Here is a 13,318-nt window from a genome sequence, read left to right as displayed (position 1 = left end):
ATTTTGGAATGTGATCAAACAATATTGAATGTCAAGTCCTAACAGCAGGGCTGGTCTAAGGAATTCCCTCTAAGCTAAATCTGGTACTTCTCATATGTGGCTACTGCTCTTTTAAACTACTGTGTCCCTAAAGGGCTAAAAGGAAGAAAATCCTAACTCAACAAGTGAAGGTAGCAAGGCATAGTATTTGAATGGCTACCTTTCATTTTAACTCTACTTCCTAAATTCAAAATTGGATTTGGGTTTGTTTCAAGTTGTTCACAATTTACTAACGAAATGTGCATCTCTCATTCTTCCCCCAAAAGAAAGAAGTCATCCACTCCAGCTACATATAAGTCTCCAATTTCTATACGTGAAAACCGAAATACCACTCATTGAAAAAAAAATGTACAGAGAATTGGCAGGCTGCATGTTTATGTAAACCTTCAGAAAACATGGAAACACGCAGCCCCAACTCACCAGGAAAATCAACACTTCTGATCAAACTATTTTGTGACATTTTATGTCTTTTATACATTTCACTTCATATCCAGTATTCCAGTTTTGCACCGGCGTGCCTGTATCAACCCCAAATCGCCTGAGAGCAATCTAGTACTGTAGCAGAACAGTTTCAACATGAAGAGTTCTGCTCATTGCCTGTGGCGTGGTCCTCGAAACACCTGAATCAAACATTGATTCCCCTCCTCCTGCTATTTAAAACCGAGGGACGTCAGGCTTGGGTAGCAGGTAAAGAAAAGCCACAATAATCAAACAAACAAGCAACCAAAATACCCGAACACGGAACACGCTAAGAACAAAGGAAACACAAGAGTGTGAACAGGAAATGAAGCAACTCTATACACATAAATACCTTCTGGGGCCGCCAACGTAGGTAAAAGTAAAGGTGGAGTCAGAGTATCTGAAATCTGAAACAGAAAGTCCCGTCAAAAGCTACCCCTGGAGTGGATTTGTTTTAACCCCGATCAGGACTTGAGCCCCACATTCGGTGGTGTCAGGGGAGGCCTGGCCGGGCAGAAGGCAAGGGCTAGAGGGCGGCGAGGTCCCTCTGCGCCGCGTCCGAGGGGATGCGGCGCGCCCCCGACTGGGTGCAGCGGGAGGCCGCCCCCCGCAACAAGTGCCGGGTGCCATGGCAACAGCGGGAATTTCCCGATAGGGGAGGCCGGAAGCAGCCTCAGCCGGGCTCGCGGTAGCGAAAGCAAAATCCCGGGGGAGCAAAATGGACGAAAGGCGACCCCCAGGCAGGGGCGCTGGGTGCCTTGGGAATCCGAGGAATCCCTTCTCTTTGCCAGTCGGAGGGGACTAGAGGGAGCCGAAGGGGCCGGAGATGGGCCGAGCGCTGCCCCCCGGGGGTCCTCGGCGCCGGGCGCAGCTTACAAGCGCAGCGCAGCGCAGCAGGCTCCATTCCCGGCCGCCGCCGCTCAGCCCATTGCGCAAACCAACCCCGCTCTGCCGCCGCTGCTGGAACCCAGGAAGCGTGCTTGGAGGCTTCGGGCACTACGCGGGGCTGGAAATACCACGCACTGCCCCTTCGCCTAGACCCCCGCTCCGGCCACGCGGGCTCTGCCCTCAAAGCTGGTGGCTGCCTCAGACTTGGCGGTGGGGGAGGGGAAGGGGAGAGGCTGGCGCCCCCTCCCCCTTTTGGCTCCCGCGCTCGTTGCAGCAGCTGTTGCCAAATGAACCCCAGAATGGGGACGTGCAACCCTCCACCCCACCCCCAGCCACAGACGTCGCGGTCAGAAAACTGGGAAGGGGGCGCTGGGTCCGAGGTTCTGGAAAAGCAAGAACTCACCTGCAAACAGGCAGTCCTTCTCAGCTCTGGACTTCTGGATCACGACGTCGATATCCTTCTGAATTCGCTCTTGCCTTGAACACATCCCCATTAAATAAATCCCTGGAAAAGAAGCAGCCGCTATTTCCACCCCACCCCACCCCCCTCGCACGCTTCCAGCTTTCGTAAATATTCAGTTAAAAATGAAACCTCTGGCCGAGGCAGGGGCTGAAGGCGAAGTGGTTTCGGAAGTGATCCTGGGTGAGAGAAGAGGAGGAGGAGGAGGGGGAGGAGGAGGAGGAGGGGGAGGTCGGCTTTGCATTCCCAGATGTGACCGCCCAGCTGCTGCTCGCCGCTGCTGGATTCCAATTTCCTCCCCTTCTGACAATGGATGGTGATGACACCAAGTCTCACTTTCTCCCTCACCCGCCCGGACCAACGGCCGTGGGGGCCGAGGTGCCGGGGACAGCCAGAGAGCAATCACCGGCTGGGCGGCGGGCGCCGGCGAGGGGCGAGCCCCGCTCCGGCTCACGCGCGCACACCCCTCACGGCTCGCACGCCGGCCTTCCACACCCGCGCACACTCGCGCCCGCGGGCGGCGGCAGCCGTGCCCAGGCTGCTGCAGCGCCGCCCGCCCGCCGCAGACCCTCCGCGCCCGCCGCCTAGTCACCCCGCCGGCCGCGGGCTGCCGGGGCTCGCAGAGTATTAGCCATCCCGGGCGGGAGCCGCTTCTCCCCACACCGACCTCCACTCGCGCCGGGAGCTGAGCGGTCGTGAAGACTCCCTGGGGCTCCCAGCCTTCCCTCTCCGCGCCCCTCCCCCCATCACTTTTATGAATTCGACTCCACTTTCTAAAGGAATTATAGTCTTGTGGCAAACCCAAACCGGAGTGGCTGGGAGGGGGAAAAGGGGGGAAAAGAAAATCTTTAAAAATTAAAAAAATAATAAAACGAACAAATCTTTCCTTATTGCCACATCACATAACACGGAAAAGGCCTTAAAATTACTCCAGACGTGCACCCTCCCCTTCCCTCAGTGCCTGAGTCTTTTTCCTCCAGATCGAAGTAGTTCAGCCCTTTTGGGGCGCCGTTTACGAAACACAGCCCCTTTTGAGGGACTTCCTCCTCTTGAAACTCACCAGTTCTCCCTTCCTAGGTGTTTCTGTTCATGAGAAATGGTCAGAATCAACTGGCACGTTCCAGGGTCTTCCTAAAAGATGGAAACCTGTTTGGCTTGATTTTTAAAACCACCTCCTTTGACAGTCAAGGGAAAGCTACAATCCAGGTGTTCAGAAATGAGATACTGCTCTGATTCTCACTTTCTGTTCTGCCTAAGGACACCCCAGGCTGACGTAGCTGCCCCACCTCTATATTGGTTTATGCCCTAGGAGAGGTCTCCAGCAGGCACTTTTCTTGTTGATCTTTTCTCCACTGAGAAGGCTCCCGCCAGTAGACCATGACTCCTTTTGCTTTGCATACTCAGTGCCATGTACAGTGCCTGGAATACAGGAGGGTGGCCTAAATGTTGGCTGAATGCACGAATGGTCATTTCTTGCAGCCTCTTTTCATTACCCTGTCTCATCACTTTTCTTATCAGCATAAGTGCCCAAGAGTTGCCAAACTGTTTCAGACCCTTAATCAATTTAGTTCTGATTCTGACCGTGACAACATGATGTTCAGCACGGTAGGAATGACTGCCATCCCTGAAGGAGTCTTAAGATTCTGTAGAATCAATGAAAGATCCTATGTTCTAACTCCTTTATCTTTCAGGAAACAAATTACAAAATAATTTCCTTGTCCAGTCATATTCACTATGAGTTACAAAAGGAAACATTCTGCATTATTGAGATCCACTGCAGCCTTTGATGTAGTAAAGCCACAGTCACAACAGTCTATATCTCCTGCTCAGTCCTCTCCTGAAATGCTTCCTGTTTAGGGTAGGACAGGTTCAAGCCCTTTGTCCTTCCTGGATATGTTGCTTTGTGTAGGCCCTTTGGCTGCCAAAAATGCTCTCTTCTCTTCCACATCACCACTGAGAATCATGAGTATTTCTTCTTCCATTATGTGCTTTAATTTCTCTGAAAGGCTGAAAGTCTATTAACTCACAAGAATTTATTTTATAGTTATCTAGCCACAAGGCTTGCATCTTCCAAGTAGAACCCTTACTACAAATAAATGTGAAATAGTTTTAAAGCTACCAAATATTTTTTTGTCTGGATGAGCTCTTAGTTTACTACTCACTCCTTAAAATAGGCCTTCTTGTGACTTGTCCTATATTTGATTTTTTTTTAAGCTTCATGGGCTGCCCTGTTTTGGTTAAACAAAGCTAACCTCACCCTGTTCATGCCCTTAAGGTGTGATGTATTTAATAAATATTTGTACATTTGAAGGAGTAAGATTAAAAAATAAAAACCTATCTAGTATGTATTTCTGCAAGATAAATTTCTCTAATTAAAAACTATACCAACGTAGATCCTTCCAAGGATCTTCCAGGCTAGATCCTTATGGAGCACTTTGCTCAAAGTAAGTCAGCCCATATCCAGGATCCTTTCTTTACCTTGCCCCATCTCCGAATATTTAAATGTTTATATTATGTGTGCTCAACATACTTCCCTTATCAAAAACTATATGCGCCTTTGAGATGAAACAGTTCTATCTCTCCTTAAACACTCATGAGTATACAACATACACACACATGCATTCAGGAACGTGGCACATAAGAGGCCCTTCACCAATTTGTTAAATAAATAAAATCAATATTTACAGTGAGGGAGAACTCAGGTGGTATCCCAAACTAAATTGAAGATAATAATCTACATGTTGGATGATAGACTCTACTGAAAAAATTCCACCGGTTTAGAATAATGATTCAAAGCCACCAGATATAATTTATTAGTGAAAAATATAAATTTTTTGCCTGTGCCAAAAGGCCCAACTGCGGAAGTATAAGGTAATGGACATGCGGCATTAAGTTCAATAATGTGATGTGGGTATTAATAACTAACATTTATCCAGAACTTAATATTTATCCAGAACTTATCCAGAATTCATTAACATTTATCCAGAACTGGTAGAAACTGTTCTAAAAGCTTTACATATAGTTACTCATTTAATATTCACAATAACCCGTATATACTAGCTGTTATTTTTCTCATTTTACAAAAGAGGAAACAGGCTCAAAGGGGTTAATTCATCTAAGGTGAGACATGGACTACAAGAAGTTTTTTTCTCTCTTGAAACCTTTCAGCAATTGAATTGAACTTAAAGGAATAAATATGTACAGAAGCCACACGAGGAAGTAAACCGCCCCGCCAATGGCTGCAGGCCAGGAGTGAAGCCGACAAGAAGCCCTATGATGGATTTTGAGGAGGGCTGAAGCCTGTGGACTCTCAAAATAGCCTCTGCTAGTGGCAGTTATATTTCCCTTTCTTGCATTCAACTTCCTTTCCCAAATGACCCAGCCATTAGTACAGTCTTAAGAAAAGTACAAGCCTGACCTCTGCTATTCCATGGTTATTAAGAAGAGGATAGGAGGCAGGATTAGCAAAGAGGGGAACAGCCTTCTTTGCCATATGCATGATAGTGTCATCAGTGGTAAATGCCCATGGGAATGCCTACCATCCTTGCTGGGATGTGGAAACAGCACTGGGACAGTTTGCTTTTGTGGCAGAATCAGTGAAGGAGGGACAAGGTAGGGGCCGAGGCATTGCTGTGAGAAGACACCACAAAGGGCCTTTAAACAAAGGTGAGGAAGTGGGATTTCATCTGAGAAAAATGGAGAGCCACTGGAAGGAAGATGATCTGAAAAGTTCTTTCTAATTATGAGATTGATATAGCTTCTGCTTGCGGTGGTTCTGTAATGGAAAGAAATCCGTAAAATTCAAAATGCCTGCTAAGGGCCCAACTACCTTCTTCTAAGTAGAGGGACGTGTGCAATTCTTTCCTTATAAAGCTGCTTGGCTGGTGTGGTGGCTCATGCCTGTAATCCCAGCACTTTGGGAGGTTGAGGTGGGAGGGTTGCTTGAGGTCAGGAGTTCAAAACCAGCCTTGGCAATATTGCAAGACCCCTGTCTCTACAAAAAATAAAATAAAAATTAGCTGGGCATGTGGGTGAATACCTGTAGTGCTAGCTACTTGGGAGGATCTCTTGAGCACAGGAGTTTGAGGCTGCAGTGTACTGTAACTATACCACTGCACTCTAGTTGAGATGACAGAGGGAGACCCTGTTTCTTAAAAAAGAAAAGAAAAAGCTGCCTTTGGAAACTAATCCTACTTTTCTGACCTCTTCTGATAGGTCTACTGTAAAAAACCAAAGTCAACTTTGAATAAACTTGACAAGCTGAAGGAGAACTTTAGGTGATGTTTTGTGGATTTGTCACATTTTGGTTCTTACCATACCCCCCGTTAGGTTACTAAGGTCAAATGTGACGGCACAGGGGTGGTGTTGAGGTTTTATGGCCCTTTCTAGCATCTTAACTAACCTAGGTAATACTAAAGCTACAGGATGAAACCTTAACTCTTCTTTCTAGTTCCAAATTTCACTTTAATTTAGATCCATTTTTCCTGTAAAATTTTAATTCCCCTTTCTACCTAGAAGCATTCTAGACCATAATTAGATGAGATGCCTCACTGTGCCATGCAAACAAACTCATTCTTAGCTTGTATTCATTCATATTAATTCCTTCTTTTGAATACCTCTTTTTCTTTTTCTTAGAAAGTACATAAATACTATATGAATATATTCTCAGCGCAAATGATTTAAGACATATATTAGTACATAAAGTAAAATGTGAAAATTCTTACCTATCCTGACCCCTAATTTCACTCTTCGTCCCAGAGGTAACTAGTGTTAATAACTTTGTGGGAATGTCTTGCATTACTGCATTCTCATATCTTCACACAGATGTACATATGTTGACAGATTTATACATATAAATTTTAATTTAGGTTGGGCACAGTAGCTCATGCCTATAATCCCAGCACTTTGGGAGGCCAAGGTGGGTGGATTGCTTGAGGTGAGGAGTGCGAGACCAGCCTGGGTAACGTGGCGAAACCTCGTTTCTACTAAAAATACAAAAATTAGCCAGGTGTGGTGGCATATACCTGTAGTCCCAGCTACTCAGGAGGCTGGGACCTAAGAATTGCTTGAACCCAGGAAGCAAAGGTTGCAGTGAGCCAAGGTCAGGCCACTGCACTCCAGCCTGGGTGACACAGTGACTCTGTCTCAAAAAATAATAATAATAATTTAATGGAACTACATAATATATATTGTTTTACAACTTGATTTTTTTTTTTTTTTGAGATGGAGTTTTGCTGTGTTGCCAGGCTGGAGTGCAGTGGCATGATCTCAGCTCACTGCAACCTCCACCTCTCGGGTTCAAGCAATTCCCTTGCCTCAGCCTCCCAAGTAGCTGGTACTACAGGCGTGCACCACCACACCTGGCTAGTTTTTTGCATTTTAGTAGAGACGGGGTTTCACCATGTTTGCCAGGATGATCTCCATCTCCTGACCTCATGATCCATCCCGCTCGGCCTCCCAAAGTGCTGGGATTACAGGCATGAGCCACCGCGCCTGGCCACAACTTAATTTTTCTACTTGTCTTGAAGAGCTTTTTTTCTTTGTCATGGAAAGAGATCTAGCTCATTCTGTTTAGCCACTGCAGAGAATGATATTGAATGAATGCAGTATAATAAGTGTTAACCGTACTTCTGCAATCATGTTGGCTTTTGCAAAATGTTTTGTGATTAAAACAATTTACAACAAATGCACAACTTTATGCACAGTTTCAGCAGTTTCTTTGGGAAGTGAATTGACTGGCTCACAGGGAACTGGCTGGCTCACAGGGAACTGGCAAATTTAAAAATTTGATAGATACAAGCAAATTGCTCTCAAATTTACTTTATCATTTTATACTCCACTGTTTTTGAGAATACCTAATTCCCTGCAACATTCCCAACAGTATATACCATTCGTCTTTAATTTTTTTTCAACCAGCTAGGTGTAAAGTATTCATCTTGTTTTTGTCTGTAATTCCCTGATTATTAATGATATTGAGCATTTTTTCAAGTGTTTATTGACAGTTTGTATAGTCTCTGTATGATTGCCTGTCATTTCCTCTATTTTTTAATTGAATTTTTTTGTTTGTATTATTTATTTGTAGGAAGTTTTTATATATTCTAGATAGCAATTCATTTTCTGTTATAGATACTCTTTACTTACACAAAAGCCTTAAATTTTTATTTGTTAGAAAATTTAAAAAAATACACTTTGGGAGGCCGAGGCAGGCAAATTACCTGAGTTGCAGGAGTTCGAGACCAGCCTGGTCAACATGACGAAACCCCGTCTTTACTAAAAATACAAAAATTAGCTGGGCATGGTGGTGTGCCCCTGTAGTCCCAGTTACTCAGGAGGCTGAGGCAGGAGAATCACTTGAACCCGGGAGACGGAGTTTGCAGTGAACCGAGATCACGCCATTGCACTCCAGCCTGGGTGACAGAGGGAGACTCCATCTTAAAAAATAAAAATAAAGAAAAAAGAAAGAAAAAGAAAAGAAAAGAAAGAAAAGAAAAAAAATTTTTAAGCCAACTCCAGACCAAATGCTACCTTATTCAAAAAAATCTGTCTTGATTTTTCCAACTCGCTAATCTTCCCTCATCCTTGAACTCCCCATTTCTAGACTATAAGTTCCTTGCATGCAGGAACTGTTTTTATTGATCTTTGTAACCATGGAAGAGGCTACCATAGAGACTATCTTAACACACGAATGGTCCCCAACTTATGATAGCTCGACTTTAGATTTTATAACTTTACAGTGGTGTCAAAGCAATACACATTCAGTGGAAACCTTACTTCAAGTGCCCATACAATCATTCTGTTTTTCATTTTCAGTACAGTATTCAAAAATTACATGATATATTCAACACTTAATTATAAAATAGGCTTTGTATTAGATGATTTTGCCCAACTATAGGCAAATGGAAGTATTCTGAGCACATTTAAGGTAGGCTAGGCTAAACAATGATGCTCAGTACGTTTGTATTTTAAATGCATTTTCTCCTTTTGATATTTTCAACTTATGATGAGTTTACTGGGACATGACCCTATCATAAGTTGAGGAGCATCTGTAATGCACAAGAGGGGGTCTTAATTATTGTCTTTTATTGCTGTAGTTTTTAAATTACTTGAGACTTGAATTCTGCCTGCTACTTCGTTTTCACTGCCCCTAAATAGCCCATAGAACAACGCTTAGTAGGTTGGAGGCACACAGTATACATGCATTGATTGATTTTAATTTGCACTCACTTTCAAAGTTTCATGCTTTCTTTACAAAAGAGAAGCATTTCCCCAAGAGTGTTTTATAGTATATTAATTTCATATTATGTAATGAGGTTTTCTCCCAAAACAGATCTAGGTCCAAGTAAGTTTGGAGGAAAATAGATTAAATAAAGTTAAATAAATTTCTCTCTTAATAATTTTAAGCCTGTAATATGCCTACTATGACATTTCAAAATGTTGTTTTTGTTTTTGCTTTTTGAGACAGGGTCTCATACTGTCACCCAGGCTGGAGTGCAGTGGCACAATCATGGCTCACTGCAGCCTCTATCTCCTGGGTTCAAGTCATCTTCCCACCTCAGCCTCCCAAACAGCTACAGGCACAGGCCACCACGCCCAGTTTAAAAAAAAAATTTTTGTAGAGACAGGGTGCAACTATGTTGCCCAGGCTGTTCTCAAACTCCTGGGCTCAAGTGATCCTCCTGCCTTTGCTTCCCAAAGGGCTGGAATTATAGGTGTGAGCCTCTGTGCCTGGCCCCACAAAGTTTTAATTGACTAAACATTTGAGTTTGTTTAGTTGGTTGGTTGATTTTTGCAGTGCTTACTTAGGAACAGGATTCCATGTAATTTCAAAAATATATTTTTAAAATTCAGGTAGAAACTTCTGTATTATTTTTCTTTGTGATATTAAGTGTCAAACAATTTTAACACTTATCTCAAGAAGGCTTGTGGAGACTGGGATTTGGAGTAAAACAGACTCAACTTCTGACTTTTACTGGAGTAAAATGGACTGCAACTCCTAGATATGTGAACTTGGGCAAGCTACACAATTTCTTAATACATAAAATCTCAGTTTTCTCATCTGAAGAATGAGGAGAACAAAGGCTTCTATCTCTTTATAGTTGTAGAAGAGAATTAAATGAGATAAACACAGGCAAAAAGAAATATCTAAGTTGCTTAATAAGAATTAATTATTATTGACCAGGCACGGTGGCTCACGCCTGTAAGCCCAGCACTTTGGGAGGCCGAGGCAGGCGGATCACAAGGTCAGGAGATCGAGACCATCCTGGCTAACACGGTGAAACCCCGTCTCTACTAAAAATACAAAAAATTAGCCGGTCATGGTGGCAGGTGCCTGTAGTCCCAGCTACCCGGGAGGCTGAGGCAAGAGAATGGAGTGAACCCGGGAAGTGGAGCTTGCAGTGAGCCAAGACTGTGCCACTGCACTCCAGCCTGGGTGACAGAGCGAGACTCTGTCTCAAAAAATAAATAAATAAATAAATAAAAAGAATTAATTATTATTAAGGAGCCACTTTTATTCTCTCCTGACCCTTCTATACAATTGACTAATTCCTCCTTTGTTTCCCCAGTTTAGCTGGTAGTTTTCTATCACGTTTTTTGGATTCATTTGTTTCAAGTAAATGGTAAGTCCCTGCATAGGGACTTCCTCTTATTTCTATTTGTAAGCCCCATGGGCTTGGTGACATCTGGGAATGCAGACAGATTTAAGGCAGAGAGAGAAGCTTGAAGGAATAGCAGAACAAGTGCCTCCCAGGGGTACATTTTCTTATTGGCAGTCACAATCCAGTCTTGCCTCCTTGAGGCCTCATCCAGGGTCACTGCATTTGTCAGAAAACATTTGGTTGCATGACATAACTGTAACTCAAACCAACAAAGACAAGATACAGTTTCTTGACTGATACAATGTACAATGGTAAAGCATGCTTGGATGGCCTAGCAGACAAAGCAAGAGCTGGAGGACCCAGGGACTCAGGCAATTGAACGGGGAACTCAACCAGAACTTTTCTCTTTTCCATTTCTGTTTGGCAGTTTGTTTTCTTTTTTCTTTTTTTTCTTTCTTTTTTTTTTTTTTTTTTTTTTTTTTGAGATGGAGCCTTGCTCTGTCACCAGGTTGGAGTGCAATGGCACAATCTCGGCTGACTGCTACCTCTACCTCCTGGGTTCAAGCGATTCTCCTGCCTCAGCCTCCCGAGTAGCTGGGAGTACAGGCACGTGCCACCATGCCCAGCTAATTTTTGTATTGTTAGTAGAGACGGGGTTTCACCGTGTTGGGCAGGATGATCTCAATCTCTTGATCTTGTGATCCACCCGCCTCGGCCTCCCAAAGTGCTGGGATTACAGGCGTGAGCCACCCTGCCTGGCCAGCAGTTTCTTTTAAGTAACAGAGAAAATTGTCATTTGGTAATCCCAAATCTGTGACATTCCAGTTTAGTAAACTCAGCGGGGGAAGGATAACTTTTTTTTCTCCATACTCTAAATATTAATCTCAGGATAAAAATGATACCATTCGCTACCCACTTTGGATCAAGGGCCTATCTTTGGGACAAGCACTGTTGCCAAGTGGATGAGGTAGTAAGATTTGCTGAGCCCAAGTCAAGTACCTATTTCTGTGTTGAGAAGCACGTGGGAAAGGTGAAGGCAATATCTCTCATTGGTCTACTGCTAGTCTGATTAAAAGTCCTTTGCTACACCAATTCACTGCATTTCCCTAGGCTGGATCTGGCATAGCCACTCATCTTTTTGAGGGTGAATCATATTTAAAAAAAAGGATGATTTTGTTCCTCACAGTTTGGATTTCTTCTAATTTTACTCTCTCAGTGCAATAATTATAGTTGCAGGCTATGCTCCATGTCGGTGCCCGTCCTCTGTTCTTAGCCCAGTTATAGCACTTACCACATTTACTGCTTGTCTGCCTTTGTAAGAGGCTAAGCAAATGTGCCTGAAGCCTGAGTAATTTGCTCTCTTCAACAGTGTTTCTCCCAGACGTAAGCTAATGTGTGAAACACAGAGAGCACCCAATACGTACTTGTTAAAAGAAAGAAAGATCAAAACCTTCCAAGGTGCAAAATAGAACACAGACAAGAGGCGTAGAACTCAGATTGAATTGGGGATGGAGGTTTGAGGGTGTCAGAGTTGCTGAGTATGGAAGGAAGAGTAGGTGTGGAGAAAGTAAAGAACATTTAGGTGTGGAGAAAGTAAAGAACATTCTAGGTAGTGGGGAGGCATAGAGACAGTGGTGCGCTGGAGCTGGCTCACATAAACTTGCAAGAACACTTGTGCACTTCTCTTCCCAACTTCACACTCAGGGATTTCACATTGGTAGGCGGATGTCAGCCATGGTGGGAGTATTTACACCACAGAAATTGGAGCCGGTACAAAGCAAGGCTTCTGTTCTGTTGCCAGAGAGCTGACCATTAAATATTTGCCATGCCACCATATAAAAGCATGAAGGCGACAGGAATATTGCTGTAAGGGTACCTGGAAATCAAATCATGAAGGGACAGTGTTAAGCACAGGCTGGGCACAGTGGCTCACCCCTGTAATCCTAGCACTTTGGGAGGCCGAGGCAAGTGGATCACCTGAGGTCAGGAGTTCGAGACAAGCCTGGCTAACATGGCGAAAACCCGTCTCTACTTAAAATACAAAAAGTAGCTGGATATGGTGGTGCGCCTGTAGTCCCAGCTACTTGGGAGGCTGAGGCAGGAGAATCACTTGAACCTAGGAGGCAGAGGTTCCAGTAAACTGAGATCGCGCCTCTGCACTCCAGCCTGAGAGACAGAGCGAGACTCTGTCTCAAAAGAAAAAAAAAATTAAGCACAGTAATCCAAATTTCTCAGCCACTGAAAGATTTTGAAAGGGAAGGCATGACATGACTTGATGAATATCTGCTGGCTAGCATTCTTCAACAATAGTTTTGCATGGCAAACTTGGCAGAAGGTGGCATAGTCACTTTATATTAAATGCTTGCAGTTCTAGGGAAGTTATTACCTGTCCTAGCAAATCAATCTTATCCTATAGTTTACCCTAGAACTACGCCAGGCCCAATCTAAGCTTGATTCCATCAGGGCCAGGTGTGGCCACAACAGCAGCACCACTTTAAATCTGTGCCAGTAGCTCATATATTTTATATAGTACAAGTCTATTTCCTCATACCACCTGGCACACCAGCCTCCGTAATGTTGACATTAGCAAGCTTCCAACAAAAAGGTTGGCAGCCCTAGCCATATTTTTTCTTTTCTGTCTAGGTTATTTTAGCTGTGGTCCTGCTTAATACCAGAGGCATGAACCAAATAGATTTTCACATTGCTTCCAAATCTATGAATATATATAGAGAAAAGTTTATTCATGAAAGAGAGAAGGGAGGAAGGAAAGAAGGAAAAAAGGAAGGAAGGAAGGGAGGGGAGGAGGGAGAGAGGGAGGGAAAGAAAAGAGAGAAAAAGAAGAAGGAAGGAGAAAGAAAGTAAAGTAAGTCCAGGG

The 13,318-nt window shown here is 43.9% G+C and overlaps 1 protein-coding gene across 14 annotated transcripts in view, besides 6 other annotated features; it reads right to left on the bottom strand.

Moving 5' to 3' along the window:
* Positions 1-3,045, bottom strand: part of PARP8 (poly(ADP-ribose) polymerase family member 8) — a 180,589-nt gene extending 177,544 nt beyond the window's left edge. For 4 of the 14 annotated variants that reach the window (XM_011543634.3, XM_011543643.3, NM_024615.4 and 1 more), the window contains exons 1-2: positions 1,790-2,339; positions 851-905 (exon numbers count right to left, since the gene is read on the bottom strand). Coding sequence is in view for 10 of the 14 variants with exons in the window: in NM_024615.4 (NP_078891.2) it covers positions 851-905; positions 1,790-1,880 (146 nt within the window). In the remaining 4 variants the exon portion in view is untranslated. Of the gene's footprint in view, positions 1-850; positions 906-1,374; positions 1,563-1,789; positions 2,340-2,513; positions 2,876-2,906 lie in introns of those variants that run through there. The other 10 variants (NM_001427055.1, XM_011543632.4, XM_011543633.4 and 7 more) reach the window with 6 other exon arrangements.
* Positions 517-1,716: an enhancer, noted in NCBI's record as "CDK7 strongly-dependent group 2 enhancer chr5:49963094-49964293 (GRCh37/hg19 assembly coordinates)". NCBI's record gives its function as "activates an origin of replication core promoter dependent on BRD2, BRD4, P300/CBP, MED14 and CDK7 cofactors, with strong dependence on CDK7, by STARR-seq in HCT116 cells {active_cell/tissue: HCT116}" and the evidence as "EXISTENCE:reporter gene assay evidence [ECO:0000049][PMID:35650434]".
* Positions 517-2,064: a biological region, named in NCBI's record as "CDK7 strongly-dependent group 2 enhancer GRCh37_chr5:49963094-49964293".
* Positions 1,152-2,064: an enhancer, noted in NCBI's record as "NANOG-H3K27ac-H3K4me1 hESC enhancer chr5:49962746-49963658 (GRCh37/hg19 assembly coordinates)". NCBI's record gives its function as "activates a minimal SCP1, AML or CMV promoter by ChIP-STARR-seq in naive H9 embryonic stem cells {active_cell/tissue: H9 hESC(naive)}" and the evidence as "EXISTENCE:reporter gene assay evidence [ECO:0000049][PMID:30033119]".
* Positions 1,215-1,544: a silencer, noted in NCBI's record as "silent region_16002". NCBI's record gives its function as "represses an Ori minimal core promoter by ATAC-STARR-seq in GM12878 lymphoblastoid cells {active_cell/tissue: GM12878}" and the evidence as "EXISTENCE:reporter gene assay evidence [ECO:0000049][PMID:35858748]".
* Positions 2,237-2,296: a silencer, noted in NCBI's record as "silent region_16001". NCBI's record gives its function as "represses an Ori minimal core promoter by ATAC-STARR-seq in GM12878 lymphoblastoid cells {active_cell/tissue: GM12878}" and the evidence as "EXISTENCE:reporter gene assay evidence [ECO:0000049][PMID:35858748]".
* Positions 2,347-2,496: a silencer, noted in NCBI's record as "silent region_16000". NCBI's record gives its function as "represses an Ori minimal core promoter by ATAC-STARR-seq in GM12878 lymphoblastoid cells {active_cell/tissue: GM12878}" and the evidence as "EXISTENCE:reporter gene assay evidence [ECO:0000049][PMID:35858748]".
* Positions 3,046-13,318: the final 10,273 nt, after the last annotated feature.

The sequence above is a fragment of the Homo sapiens genome, chromosome 5 (genome assembly GCF_000001405.40).
Source record: "Homo sapiens chromosome 5, GRCh38.p14 Primary Assembly".
Classification (NCBI taxonomy): domain Eukaryota; kingdom Metazoa; phylum Chordata; class Mammalia; order Primates; family Hominidae; genus Homo; species Homo sapiens.
This window is presented reverse-complemented; position numbering and strand designations above follow the sequence as displayed.